A 15,836-nucleotide genomic window follows, 5' to 3' on the forward strand; every position below is an offset into this window, starting at 1 on the left:
GCCCTGACTTTGTATTGCTTCATGAAAAAGGAGAGCCCTATAAGCCTGAAGAACAGAAGAAAGACATGTTTTTTCTCTCCTTCTGACTGCCCTCTCACTGGACCAATGGTTACCTGTTCAAATGAGATTCTAGGCAGCCATCCCTCAATTCATAAGTTCTTCTTTTTTGTGCCGACTAGAGAATTGATTCAGTCCTCCCCACAAAATCTTTATCCTTCCACCAGATTGCAACCAACAGCAGCATGCTAGGCAGGAAGTTTAGGAGAAATTTGTGGAAATTTCATAGACATCTGGAATATCTCCCAAAAACAAAGCAGTAGAGGGAGTGAAAGCTCCACAGTTGCAGAAAATGCTATGGATTTTCCCAATGCAGCATCAGCTCGGAGGATCAGACAACAAAACACAGGCATAGGTGAAACTTCTACCTCAATCCAGAGTATCCATGAATATCTGCCAGAAATCGGGAATTATACTGGCAGCAGTGCCCATCTACTTGCTATCAGCTCTAACTCAGAGAGTGAGCAGAATCAAGGCAATTCAGCTACCCAGTTAGCAAACATGTGGTCAACATTCCTCTCTTCTTGTTCAAACACAAATAAACGAAGAAAGGAAATATAGAATACATGACAAAATGTTGCCAAAAATGGGAATGAATATATTAACCTAAAAACTGAAATAAATAGTATTCTTTCTGCAAATAATTCACTTTAGGAACCAGAAAAAAATAGTTTAAAACTTTGGCAATCTTAATATGCTGCAAGGATACACAGACTCAATGAAGCAAGGACATACAAGTCAAGAGAAAACAAGATGAAAAGAACAGGAAGACAGGGTGTAACACCAATAAGTTTAGATGAAGATGGATCCGGGTATGATAAGGAAAAACTGCAAGGAAATTAAAATGACAATAGTTGACTAAGCAATTCCATGCCTAGCTATTTATCAAAGAGAAATGGAAACACGTACACAAGAAGACTTGTGCAAGAGTATTCATAGCAGTTTTAGTCATAATGACCTCAAACAAGAACAGCCCAGGCCCATCAATAGACTCAGATGTTAAAAAAAGATCTGTGGTATATCCATATGTGGCATACTAAGAGCAATAAAAAAGAATAAACTATGAACACACACAAAACATCATGTAATCTCAAAAACTTTATGCCGTAAGAAGGACGTTACAAAAAAAAAAAAAAAAAAGTGCAGGCTGGGTGCGGTGGCTCATGCCTGTAATCCCAGCACTTAGGGAGGCCTAGGCAGGCGGATCAGCTGAGGTCAGGAGTTTGAGACCAGCCTGGCCAACATGGTGAAACCCCGTTTCTACTAAAAAAATACAAAATTTAGCCGGGTGTCGTGGCATGCGCCTGTAGTCTCAGCTACTCCGCAGGCTGAGGCAGGAGAATCCCTTGAACCCGGGAGGCGGAGGTGGCAGTGAGTCGAGATATCGCACCACTGCATTCCAGCCTGGGTAACAAGAGTGAAACTCTGTCTCACAAAAAGAAAAAAAAAAGTGCAATGGTGTGATCCCATTTATATAAAATTCTAGAAGAGGTAAAACTAATCTATGGTGGAAAAAATTGGAACAGTATTTGCCTCTGGAGGGTGAGTGAGAGAAAAGAATGACTAGAGAAGGCATAGGAGAACTTTCCACGGTGAAGGTCACATATCCTGATAAGTGGTTGGGTTACACAGGTGTATGCATTCGTCAATACTCAAGAAAGTTGTATTTAATATTTGTTCATTTCATTATAGGTGAATTTTTTTTTACATTTAAAAAAACTTGAAACAAATAGTGAATTATCGTTAACAATGTGCATGTTACAATAATTTGGGGGAAGTGTGCAGAGGTCCACAATTTGCTTTTAAATGTATCAAAAATATGATGGATTAATGGATGAATAGACAACTGGATGAATACATGAAAAAGCAAGTATAGGAAAATAATAATGGAGAATCTAGGCAATGTGTATATGAGAGATCACAATAAAGTTTTAAAACTTGGCCATATAATTTAATTATTATAATGTAAGGAACATAACACAATAGCATAATTAAAATCATTATTGTTAAGAGAGCAAAGGGGAGGAAGGAAGAGGAGTTGAAAGAGGAAGATGTGAGTATACTTAACACATAAAATACAAAATACAACACAATTAAATAGAAAAAAGTAGATGCTATTGCTAGGTGGAAGGCTTACAAAGATATCAGTTATTCCCAAATACATTTTCATGTTTAATGCAATCCCATGGGATGGGGAGTGGTGGTGGTGGGTTCAGATAGGTTCCATGCAGTAAACTTTAAAGTTAATTTAAGAGAATAAATAGTAATGAATAGCCAAAATTTTTTTGTAAAAATTATAATGGAAACATTTTTAATTTTTAAACTGAAAGAAAAATGAGAATTGTTCTATCAGACATTTAAATAAAATGCTACAAGGCTATAATATAAAACAAGATGGTACACTCTTGTAATTAAAGAAAATAAGTATACAACATGAAACATTCTTATACATGAGAAACCTTTATATTATATATTTTTATTAATGGAAATATTTTTAAAACTGAGGAATATTTAAAGAATAATGCTGGGAAAGTGAACTATATAAGAAAAACAATTTAGTGGCCTGGCGCAGTGGCTCACACCTGTAATTCTAGCACTTTGGGAGGCCAAGGCCGGGGGATCACCTGAGGTTGGGACTTCGAGACCAGCCTGACCAACATGGAGAAACCACCTCTACTAAAAAAAAAAAAAAAAAAAAAATTAGCCAGGCATGGTGGCACATGCTTGTAATCCCAGCTACTTAGGAGGCTGAGGCAGGAACCCAGGAGGTGGAGGTTGCAGTGAGCCAAGATCATGCCATGGCCAACAAGAGTGAAACTCTGTCTCAAAAAAAAAAAAATTTAGTTTATTATCTTAAATTATAAATCAAATAAATAATTTAGATATACTGAATATAAAATATAAAAGTACTTACAATCTAAAGGAAATATAAGTAAACATGTTTTTAATGTAAGAAATGTATAAGCATAAAGAAATGGTAAAATAATAAATGATATATTTGATCAAACATAAAATTAAAATTTTCTGTACATGAAAATATGTTTAAAAACAATAAAGCTGGGAAGCTGGGAGACATTCTACAATAGACAGAGGACTTATTTCCTCTTTATATAAAGAGATTTTACAAACAATAAAATTTCCAATGTCCCATCAACAAATATACAGAAAGCAAAAATAATTTTTTACAAAAATATACAAATCATTACTATCTGAAAAAAATGCTGTATATATCAAAAGACATAAATTAAAGCAAAAATCTGATGCCATTTTGTCCACTAACTTGGGCAATTTAAAAAAATACTAATATTAAGCACACAAAATATATATCAACACTCACTGCTGCCACACATACTTATTGATTCACTACTAGAACCATATTTCATAATATGTACCAAGAAATATCAATGAATTTGTATTATTTAACCTGGTAATTTTCTTTTAGAAGTTCGTGTTAAGGAAAAACATTACAGATGCAGTCGAAGGTTTATGTACATGTTTTTTTTTGTCACAGTATTAAAAGAAAATGAAAAAAATTTAAAAAGTAACAATAACATAAAATTAAGCAAAGAAGCCATTTGATAGAATACTGTATAATCATTCAAATACCATGTTTTTAAAAAAATACATAATAACATGATATGTTATTGTATATGTCACAAGTATGTTGGTAAAAACAACCAGGAACAAAGTTAGATAGATATAATTTTATTTAACAATGTACATAAATTTCCCCAAATTACCTATATTTTCTATTAGTAAGTAAATACATAATTTGTTTATACTTTAAAAAGTAAACCTTGTGAAACTGCAATTATCTCTGATAAGTGCTGAAGTGAGTATAAACATAATATGCAATTGCATGATTAAGCAAGGGGCAATTATTCTTTGAGGGGGTTACTGGGAGTTTGGTAATAAGGAACAATTCTTTAGAAAAGAATTTGGCTTTTCTTTGTCAAAGTGACTGGCCATAGTAAGCACAACATCTTCCCATGTAGAGAGACTAATATGACCATCACACAGTGTAATCAAGAGAGATTGATGTGATTAGTTTGCAGGGGTGTCCAATCTTTTGGCCTCCCTGGGCCACGTTGAAAGAAGGAGTTGCCTTGGAGTACACATAAAATACACAAACACTAATGATAGCTGCTAAGATTTAAAAAATTACAAAAAAATTCCAGAATGTTTTAAGAAAGTTTACGAATTTGTGTTGGGCTGCATTCAAAGCCATCCTGGGCCGTATGCGGCCCACAGGCCGTGGGTTGGATAAGCCTCGTCTAGAGTGTAGGGTAAGTATAGAAGAGTATCTGAAAATAAAGGCAGTTAAGGTAAACTAGCTAGTCATTCTTTCCTGATACCCTGCTGGATCTTTGGAAGTGTAAGAATCTATGTGTGGGATTCTTCACATATCTCACAGTGCATTTGTGTTTATAAGTGTGTCCTGAATAGCACATGCAGGATTTTGACATCTACCACATGTACATTTCATGATATGGAATAGAAAGTCCACCAGCTGTACCTACATAAGCCTTTACTGATCCAGGTGCTCAGCTTGTCGGAGAGATGAGGAAAACAGCTCTTGACAAAATCCTCAAAGGTCACTGTTGCCAAGGCATTGATGCTGGAAGCCACGGTGCTATAAGGAAAGAAAAGTGAGAACATGGTCTAAGCTATATAAGGCGGAGCTACCAGCCTGCCCTCTTGTCCAGGGCAGATAGATAAGGCAGGCCTCTAGAAAAAACAGATGCAGATATATCTCTATCTTCTGAGACTCCATGGGAACTATATGGCCTCTTTACTCATCTTTCAAATCTTTTTCCATGCTATTGCTCTTAAAATTTTTCCATGAACTACAGTGAAGAAGCTAGGCTTTCATAATCTAACACCCACTAATTCCCCTTAACAAGAGGTTAAATGAACTAGCAGGCAGCACCAGAGGAAATCTGTGTGTGTGTCTATGTGTGTGTTCAGGTTGGAGTGGAGGCAGAAAGTAGTGACTACTCTAACCCAGGAATCAGTAGAGCCTGCCACTCATTAATTATTCATTCATTTATTTCTACATCCTTTTATTCATTCTGGGTATCAAGCATACAATGGTGAACCAGAAAGACGTAGATCTTGCACTCTAACTGGGACACAAACATTTAACAACCAATTATTTACCTGCTTATAGTTGTGAAGGAAAATAGCAAGACGCTGTAAGAACATACAGAGACCTAAATTGACATGTAGTTTGGAAACTTTTTCCTTTGGAAGTGACAGATAGGCACTGGGAAAATCCATGCAAAGTGGGAAAAAGATGTTGTAGGATGAAGGAAAAATTACGTATAGATGTCTCAACATAAAAAGGAGCTGTTACATTCAACAACCTAAAGCTACCAGAGTTGCTAGAATGATATTATAACAGTAAAAGAGAAAGTAGCAAGAGGTAAGACTGGGAAGTAGCCACAAATCGAAACTGCATAAAACCTCTAATATTCCCTCTGTCACTTTCCAATCAGAGCTCAATCTTATTGGACCTAAAACTTGCTTAGGTGACAGAGGACCTGAACGTTGGGGTTTTCTTTGCAGAATAAAATGAGACCTTCTTCAATTCCTCATACAGACCCGGAATATTTTAGCTAGTGGAACAGATAATATATTCAATTCAAGTGATGCAAAATCACAACTATGAGAAAAAAATTCTGGAAAAGAAACAGGCCAATGAACAAAAGATGTCTAGCAATTTGTAAGTTTTCCATTGATATTGATTAAAAATTATTCTGCTATCCTCCAGTGCTCACTTGAGAACAAGATATAGCTATGACTTCTCTAAGTGATATATATATATAGGAAGTAAAAACTGTCCAAGACCCATATCTGAAAACTAATTGCTTGGGGGGTACTATTCTTATTTTTCTAAGAATCAAAACATGATATGTGATCCCTGCCAGACTCCTCTTCTATCTGGAGCTCCATAAAAGTTAAATAAGGAGAGAAGGGGATTAAATAAAAGGACTTTTTATGCTCCCAAAATCTTTGTCTCAATATACTTCTTGTGAAAGTTTCCAACATCAAGGTTAATCTTTGAATCCTTTGGGCGGGAGGGAGCAGAAAGTTGAATTTGGCCCAGAAGGGTAAGGTTTGTACAACCTCTGCAGGGTTGCTTTGGCAGTCAGGTGTATCCATATGTCAATTTTCAGATTCTAAGGCTGCTACAAGATAGTGGAAATATTTTTCCCCTACCTCTCAACCACTATCTTCCCATTCTATCCCTACTCCTGTCTTTTCCTTTCTCTATCCCCACAGTCTCCTTGTGCTTGTGGCAGTAGTAATCTCCCTATACCATATGTTGTCCAGTGTGTTTCTTCCTTGAAACTTTGGGACTTAGGATAAAGGAATCAACCATTCTTTCATGGGGGATATAATCTGTTAACAGCCATATTTCTCCAGTCTGGAGAGAGTGAGCCTCAGAGTAAGAGGGCAAAAAATAAAGCATGTAGAGAGGGACGAAAGAAAGGACAGAGTGTGACCCTTACTGGTGTTTGAGTCTCTGGTGCTCATTATCTCTGTCCTTAGTGTCCTTGAGATCCTAGTGCCAACACCATAGGACAGTGTCACTGTGTGCTATTGATGCAAAATTCTAAAAACAATATTAGTAAAAACAAGTTAGCAGTACACTAAATTAAAATCCTAAGGTAAAGTCATTATATAAATTCAAGGATATTGCTATTTTGGAAATCTGTCAACATATTAACATACTAAAAGTTTTAAAAGAGAAAAATATGTGACCATTTCAAAGATGCTAAAATTTTACCAAAATATACCACTCAGATAAACATCTTTTCTAAAATTAGCATAAATACATGCATTTTATTCTTCTACTTTTAAAATAATTTATGTGAATATTCTCAAATATAAATAATACCTTTCAAACCAAAAGTCAATATCTTATTAAATTGTGAAACCAAACAAATATTCCTTTTAGAGTACATAATAAAACATTACCTTAATTATTTATCATGTTCTCAAAGCACAATTACATAAGAGAATAAACATAGAAATGCATCTATTAAAAACAAAGAAAAAAAGTCAAGAATATCTGTAGATATTTGATTACAATCAAACTCCAAAGAATCAACTAAAAATATTTTTTTAAAACCCCTAGATATCAGGAAAATTCTGTAAAATAAAATTAATTAAGGTATTAACCTAATAGATAAATTATATTTTAAAGTACAGTCATCAAAATTATTGGTGTTGGCATAGCTAAAGACCAGTAGATCAAAAGAATGTAAAAGATAATTAAGAAGAGGTATCAAATACATAGAAGAATATAGAATGTAATAAAAGTAATATTTCAAGTCAGCAGTGAAAAGATGGCCTATTTATTAAAGACAAATGGGACAACTTGGTTACTAGTTTACAAAGAAAATAAAGCAGGAACTTCACTTAATTTCTTATATGTATAGTCTAGATAATTTAATAACATTAATATTTACTAAAACCATAAGTATACTAGAATGGTGTCTGGTTGATTATTTATAATCACAGAATGGAGAAACCTTTTTGAGAATGATGTTAATCCTGAAATCATAATGTAAAACATTAATATAAATTAAAATCTTTACGTGGTCAAAAATGTCATTAATAAAGCAAATAGACAATGAACAAATGAGAAAAAAAGTCCTTAACCTAGGTCAATTGGCTATTTTTCTTATATATAAAGAGGAAAGCTCAAATCTTCCTGACACAGAAGACCAAGTCTTCAATTTGTGTGTCACTCACTCCCTTGGTTTCGAACCTTCTAATGACTTCCTATTTCACTTGAAATGCAAACTCTACCACTTCATAAAGGCTTGTTGTGATCTGATCCTTGCTCACCTCTTCTAACTCATCCCCACCTGCTCTCCTTCCAGGGCCTTAGGTGCCAGTGTTTCCTGTGTTCCTCAAACACTCCATACAGTTTGTCTCCGCAGGGCTTTAGTATTTGCTTTTCCCCCTGCCTGTAAATGTTCCTGCTTGTGCTCTTCACATAGCTGGCTTTTTTGCATCCTTTAGATTTCAATACAAATATCACATATTCAGAAAGGAGTTCCTTAAAGACCCTATCGAAATTAGAATCCTCAGACTTCACCTCTCTCTAGGATACACACTGTTATTTCCTTTATATACTATTTGCTATTTTCAGACACAATCTTGTTAATCTTTTTTACTCACATATTGGCCATCTTCCATGTCTATTAGAAAGCAAACTCTATATAAGTGAGGACAATGCTTATATCAGTCTTGTTCTCTGCAGTATCCCTGATGTCACCAACTGTGTCTGGTATAATATAAGCCTTCTAAAATATTTGTCACAATAAATGCATGAATGATTTTGTATTTAGAATAATGCCCTTATTTGGGGAATGGAAGTTATTAGCTGTCTGAGTGTGTTATTAAAGATGAGATCAATGGAATGCAAAGAATAGATGTGCAGAATATATAGCCATGCATTGGTTAATAGCAAGGCTGTGCTCTGAGAAAATGCATTGTTAGGTGATTTCATCATTGTGCAAACATCATAATGTGCTTACACAAACCTAGATGGCATTGTCTGCTATACACCTAGGGTATACGGTATAGCCTATTGCTCCACGGTTACAAACCTGTACAGAATGTTACTGTCCTGAATACTGTAGGCAATTGTAATACAATCACAAAGCGTTTGTATACTTAACCATAGAAAAGGTATAATAAAAATATGGTATTAAAATATAGGGCTATCATCATATATGCAGTCCATCATTGACTGAAATGTCATGTGGCAGACTGTATATATTGTAGCCAAATGAATGAGAAGAGCCAGCAGAGTGAGCTGCTTTATGTAAAGGTGATACAAAAGTGTGGGGGCAATTAGCATCAGACAAGGTAGGATAATGAGCATAAAATTCTTGAGTCGGGACAGACCAAGGCTTACATCCAGCCCCTGCAGTTTACTAACTCACCATAGGTAATTTTTCTATCTTGCTAAATCTCAGTTTCCTTATCTGTATACTGATGATGAGTAAAATTCTAGGCTCATATGTTGTGTACCAATTAATGAGCAAATACAAATAACACATTCAGAAGGTCAGTTTACACACAGTGAGTGCTTGCTAAATATTGTTGATCACTACACCATCATCCTTGTTATCCTTTCCATCATCATCATCAGATTGTTGTTGCTATACTAACCTCAGAGTTCCACTGAAGGCACAAGCCACAAAAAGTCCTGGCAGTCCTGGCATTGTGGCAAATATCTCCATGACAAAGTACGGCATCAGCTGAAGAGGAGGCAAAACATAAAAAAATAAATAAAAAGAAGAAAGAAAGAAAAGAAAAGAGAAGAGAGAGAAAAAAATAGGATTAGTGGTCTTCTCATCAGTGTTTGAAATGTGGGAACATAGCTGTTTAGCAAAAGGAGGTAGGAAGTTTATTTTCCTTGTTTTCAATATACGCCATTTTCTTTCGTGTTTATCCTGAATGTTAGCAACTAAGCCCTAAAATCAAGCCCCTAAAAGAAGACTTCAGGGAATCTAGATATGATGCACTACTCTACATCCAGGTTTGTGGCAGAGGAGCCCCTCTTTGACAGAGCAGGACAGTTAAATATATATAGAGAGGGAAGGCAAATGATTACTTCCCTTGAGCATATTCTCCATAAATGGAGTTTTCAAAACCATGTTTACTGTAGTATATCAGCACGATGTTTAAGTTATGCTGAGAAGACATGATAAGAGGCAGGCATTGTGGAAATAAGGGTCGTTTTCTTCAATCTGAGGTTCCTTAATCAACTGTGAAACCTGTAGGAAGAGTCCAAAGGCAGCAGCGACATCCAAAGCCATGGTTCAAGCCTGCATTCCACTCTCTCCAGCCTTGCTATGCTGCCAGACCTTGTCTTTAAGAACAAGGTGAGATGCCGTCTTTTTTTTTTTTTTTTTTTTTTGAGACGGAGTCTCACTCTTGTCGCCCAGGCTGGAGTGCAGTGGCACGATCTTGGCTCACTGCAACCTCTGCCTCCTAGGTTCAAGCAATTCTCCTGCCTCAGCCTCTTGAGTAGCTGGGATTACAGGTGCCCGCCACCTTGCCTGGCTAATTTTTGTACTTTTAGTAGAGACGATATTTTGCCGTGTTGGCCAGACTGGTCTCGAACTCCTGAGCTCAGGTGATCTGCCCGCCTCGGCCTCCCAAAGTGCTGGGATTACAGGTGTGATCCACCGTGCCTGGCCAAGGTGCCCTCTTTTTTACATGCTCATTCCCCTGTATTAGAACCTGGTAGGTGCTGATATCACCCAAGAGAAGAAAGAAACCAACTTCTTGGGGTTTGAGAAATAGTGAGCAGTCCAGGAAGAAAAAGAGAAAGGCCAAGATTATCCACCAATAGCTAGAAGCACGCTCATTCCAGACACTCGCCACTGTCCTCAAGAAAACCCATACCTGGTCTGGTGCTGAGATGATGCCAGAAGTCCAAGGGTCACAGTCTTTAAAGTGAGAGTACATGATTAAGCCAGAGAAGACAGCACACACCAGAATGATCCAGAGACCCAGCAAGTTAAAATACAAGGCACTAGAAAAGAGCACATGGGCCTATTGGTAGCCTGTATACCATATCATACTGTGGTGAGGTCATTACCAGGTACTCAAGGTAAAGGGTTTTGGGTCTTTTTGCTAGTAAAATAAAATTCTATAGCCTTTAAGAATCACTACACTTTATACTTTTGCTATTTTTTTTTTGCTTGAGAACATTACATTTTTAGACTCACTACCAAATTTAAATAAAGTAAGATTTTAAGTGAATTTTCCTTTGAAATCAAGAGTTTTTGCAAAACCTTGATATGTGTGGTATGAGATCTATTCTCTTGGATGAAATTTCACATACCAATCACTCATATTATATAACTTCAAGTGATTTTCCCCCTACTCAATTCATAAAACTGTCAAAAAGGCAACTTACATTTTTAACATCTTTTTCCAGAGAGATAATGAGCTAACACAGAAATAGATAAGTGTTGGAAATATTCACTTTGGAGATTAATGCAGATAAAAGTTAGAGTTGGTTTTTTAAAAAGACAACAGAAAGTACAAAAAACTTAGGATCATCTTACCCATACTATGTGGTGCAATTCATTTTATTTTAAAACCCACAGATATGCCTAATTCCAGTCTGGGTGTTTTTGTAGTATCCTACGGTTATGTTGTATTCATTACTGTCCTTTGAAAGTAAAAATTTTACTAATTTCCTCAATTCCAGAGAGGACATGAAAGTAGGCTGGCCTTACCTTGGCCTGAGAGAATAAACAACCTCACTGTGGAGATGGCCGCAGGAGGCCAAGAGAGCAACGCTGAACATTGTCTAAGATCTAGTCATTGTTTGAAGGGAATCATATTTAAATGTAAAGACACACGTTTATTTCAAAATCCTCTAAAACCTATACCGTACAGGTGTACTTGATTTTCAGAAGACCCTTAAATCAAAGTCCACATTTATAAGGCAAATACGCCAGATAATTATCCCATTTAGAGGAGTTTTCACCTCACAGTTTAGAAGAAGTTTTTATCTCAAAGTCTACTTCCTTGAAAGTATTTTGCCAATGCAATGATTTTTATGTGTTTGTTTGTTTTTCTTGGTGGGCTTTGGGAATACAATTGCTACATAAAATGAGCAATACCGATAATTGCATTAGTTGTACTCTTGCTGTCTCCAACCTTCAGGCCAACTCTATTCAAGCCTTTGCTCTGGCTGGCTAGAGAGACTTTCCTGCTCATCCTTATTTGTAACAGTCACTTCCTGCTCTCTTGTCAGTTTCTACTCCTTATAATTATTTATGTCACTATAGTATTTATGATCTGAAATTCTATATTTATTCATGTATTATTGTTTTGTGTTCCCAGAGCACTGAACAGTTCCAGCATATAGCAAATATAAAATTATTTTTTTGGTAAGAAATAATGAAATGATTGAAGAAATTAATGGTAGAAATTCTTTACTACATAACTGCATTTTTTACACTGTTTCTTTTTAAAATATACCATTGGACCTGGAGTTAAAAGTCTTTATCCTTAACAACTGTGTGACTTTAGACAAATCACATAACACTCTGAGTCAGTTATATCATCTGTAAAAAGAATGTAACATAACTGCCTTACTTTTTATTATAGGATTATGAGGATTTAATGAGTTATACTCTGTAAAAATATGTGGAGGTTATATAGCCATACAGAGGACAGTCATACATTATCCAGAACAATCTTATAAGTTCATCAGTCAACTATGTGAAATGAGAAACCAGTGGAAATAGAATATTAAAGTCATTGTATTTTGAATTCGTTTCTCATTTAAAATGGACTTGGGTTCTATACAGGGCTAATTCTTCTGTTTGTAAAATAGGCTTTTTCATTGATCCATTCAGAAAGTATTTATTGGGCAACTCTCTGTACCAGGCCCTCTTCTAGGTATTGTAGCTATAGCAGGAAGCAATGCAGAAGACAACCTCATGGAGATTACATTTTGGGATTAGAAGCAGGTAATGAACACTGAAAATAAATAAATAAATAAATAAATAAATCAGATAATTTTAGATCTGATAGAGATATGGGGAAAATAAACTAAGGAAGTGGAAATGGAAATGCAACTGTGTGTAGATGTGCTCATCGTAACTGGGAGATGGGACGTGATACCCTGCATCAACTCCTTCTACCCTCATAGCACCATTTGCTACCAGCAGACCTGAAAGATAAACAAGGGATTAGAAACACAGTTAGCTTCCAGGAAGCACATGTAAGTGTCTCAGTAAGTGATACTATTTCTAGGTGCAAGGAAGATTTGGCTTTAGATTAAGTTGTCTTTGGTGACTAATCACATTTCTGGTCATGAAACCAAATGCATGTATATGAGCCACTCCTGATTCTAACCCATGCCCACTTTTAGTGTGAACTTTATGGATCTATTTTTACTTACCTATTTTGCAGGATTTATTTTCCTCAAGTACCAGAGATTTTTCTAAGCCGCATGGAATGTCTTAATTACATTAGGCTCTCAGATAATGGAACAAAAGCAGAACATCTCATCAACATCTTCAGAGCCTCCTAAGTGACAGTCAGTCAGCAGCTGGCTCTGAGTGGCTTCCAGATGCCCCTGAGTGCCCTCAAGGCTCCAGCTGTGTGACAGATGGGACCCCCCTCACCATTTTCTCACTACAGCAATCTCCCCTCCAGCTCTGTGCACTGCAACTATACCAAACATCTGAACTGATTTCTCTCTCCTGAATTTTATTAACCCTATCACCTTAGATTCTCTCAGGGAACCCTTTTCTAAAGAGAATTTTTATTTTTTCATCTTTCATTATTCTCACAAAATTACTATCACAGTCCTAATCCCTTCATGGGAGTTGGCATGAGTGGAACCAGGAATGGCAGTCCTGAATATTAGAAAATTATGTACATTTGTTAGGAAATTATGTACATTTCTGTCTTCATGAGTATGCCTCCTTTTCTGACAGCTTTCATACTCACTAAATACTAGTACAACAAATTCCAAGTTCCAGGCAACTATAGGAATGGGATTGTGTTCATTTTTCTTGAATTAAACTACTTTACTAAATCAGGTTTTAAGATTTATATACAGAAATGTGTGTGTATGTGTGTACACATATTGATTGATTACAGCTATATAATTTTATTACTTGGCCTTTCTTGTTGGAAATTTCCTAACTAGATAACAATAAGTTCATTGGTGGCTTCTGATTAGTTAGCCTTAAGTTTCATTTACATATATATTATATATACGTATATAAGTGTATACACATACACACTCACATATATATATGCCCATCCATACTTGTGTGTGTCCCTGTGTATATACATACACACAAGCATGGCCTTCTCGAGGCATTACTTTGTTTAATAAGCGATAAACGTTTAGTAAGCACAAAGCATTGTTCTTGGTCTTGTGGGGAAAAATGATTAAAAAGACACATTTCCTAACTTTCAGGTATTAACATAGAGAAATTAGGCATATTCACAACAGAAAATAATATAAACTCATAATATTTTTAAAAACTAGATATAACAAAGAATCATTATTTATTTTACCAAAGGATTCTTCTCTTTACAGGTACAGCCAACTATAATCTATTTTAGAGCAGAATTTTAAATGAAATTTTCGGATCAAAGTCACATGCATTTTCAATGACACAGCTATTGGATAAAGAGATGACCACATGTGTGGAGGGTTTGTTACAATATTATTTATTGAAATAAGATTTGAGTATATTACCAGTGAATTGATGGAACGCCAGATAATGCTTTTATTTCCTTATTCTGAGAGCTATGAAATATATAAGGAGAACATTACAGTTCTCCTTTTGGAATTCAACTTACAAAATGGTTGAATCGTTTCCAGGCAATTTTATATTTTATTTAGTGAAATAAGAAACTGTGCATTGAAAGCATTTTAAAATCACCTGGGGAAACATTCATAGTGACTGTTTCTCCAAGAAAAGTTTCAAGTATCCTGGTTAGGCTGGGGAGGTTGAAACCTTGGGAAACAGCACTGAAGATGAAGAATCATTTTGGATGCAGTTCTGGCTTATTTCTGCCAGTTTTGTGAAAGTGTATATAACTTTGGTCTCTACTTTGGAGCATGGGGTGGCTTGCAGGGCTTGGAAAATGCATGAGGCTTGTGCCTCTGCTTGTATCCTTCAGAACAAGCAGACCAGGAAAGAGTCAGAGCAGCTGAGTTCCACTGTGGCTTGCTACATTACCCTCTGTTTTCTTATTTTTTTAACCTCTCCTTGGAAACTTTAAGAGTACAAACATCTGTTAAGTGAGCTTAACCTTTGCAAATATAAATGAAGCTTAACTTGGGCTATTTCTGGTAAATGCCTATATCAAAGAAAAAAATGAAACTTAATGCTAACTACTCAGAAACCACCAACTAACTTAGAGATATCTAACTAAGAAATTTCCAATCGGATAGACCAAGTAAGACAACTGTACAGCTGTAACCAATCAAATACTTGCTTTGCTTTGCTTCCATGTCTAATCTATAATTTTTCCCCTTGTGTTCCCTCAGTGGAGGCCTTCAGCTACTTCTATTTGGTAACTGCCTAATTCATAAATCACTGTTCATTCAAATAAACTCTTTAAAAATTTAATTGTGCCTCAGTTTACCTTTTAACCCATGAAAAGAAAAATAATAGTTGAAAAGACCACATGCTAAATCAAGTGAGGAAGAAATGTGAGCTATTTACCTTTGCATTGCCACCCACAGTACCTAATTTAATCTAGTAATTTCTCAATAAATGGAGGCAGCAAATAATTGAGAGAAAAGACAAACCGACTTCAGTTCACACCCCACCTCTGCCACTTCCTGCTGAGATGACAGTAGTAATGCTGGGCTCAAAAAGTTGAAAGAGTTAAGTGAGTCTCTCTGCCTCTCTCTTACACACACATACATACACACACACACACACACACACCCCCCAAGAGGAAGTATTAATATATAATAAGTACCAAATAAGGTAAGATAAAACATTAAAATTTTTCTTGACTGAGAACTTACAGCTTAGCATGCTTTTCTGTTTTGCAAGAGATGCATCGCTGAATAGTTGATTGATTGACCCCATAGATTCCGAGCCAAGTAAAAGTTCCTCCCACTGTGATAGTCCAAAAAGTGTGTCGCCTGAGAGGATCTACATCAAAGCTATGAGACAGAGAGAAATGAGTGAACAAAGATATTCCTTTGATGCCTAAGATATTATTTTAGGTGATAAGGTCAT

General features: G+C 35.9%; 1 protein-coding gene across 7 annotated transcripts in view; it reads right to left on the minus strand.

Annotated features, from left to right (window-relative positions):
* SLC5A12 (solute carrier family 5 member 12) overlaps positions 1 to 15,836 on the minus strand; it is a 56,370-nt gene that overhangs the window by 20,892 nt on the left and 19,642 nt on the right. For 5 of the 7 annotated variants that reach the window (XM_011519920.3, XM_006718155.4, XM_017017244.2 and 2 more), the window contains 4 exons: positions 15,620 to 15,760; positions 10,495 to 10,624; positions 9,253 to 9,341; positions 4,578 to 4,690 (listed from right to left, as the gene is read on the minus strand). In XM_011519920.3, coding sequence (XP_011518222.1) covers positions 4,578 to 4,690; positions 9,253 to 9,341; positions 10,495 to 10,624; positions 15,620 to 15,760 — 473 coding nt within the window. Of the gene's footprint in view, positions 1 to 4,573; positions 4,691 to 9,252; positions 9,342 to 10,494; positions 10,625 to 15,619; positions 15,761 to 15,836 lie in introns of all 7 variants that reach the window. The other 2 variants (XM_047426454.1, XM_011519921.3) reach the window with 1 other exon arrangement.

This window comes from Homo sapiens, chromosome 11 (assembly GCF_000001405.40).
Source record: "Homo sapiens chromosome 11, GRCh38.p14 Primary Assembly".
In the NCBI taxonomy this organism is placed as follows: Eukaryota; Metazoa; Chordata; class Mammalia; order Primates; family Hominidae; genus Homo; species Homo sapiens.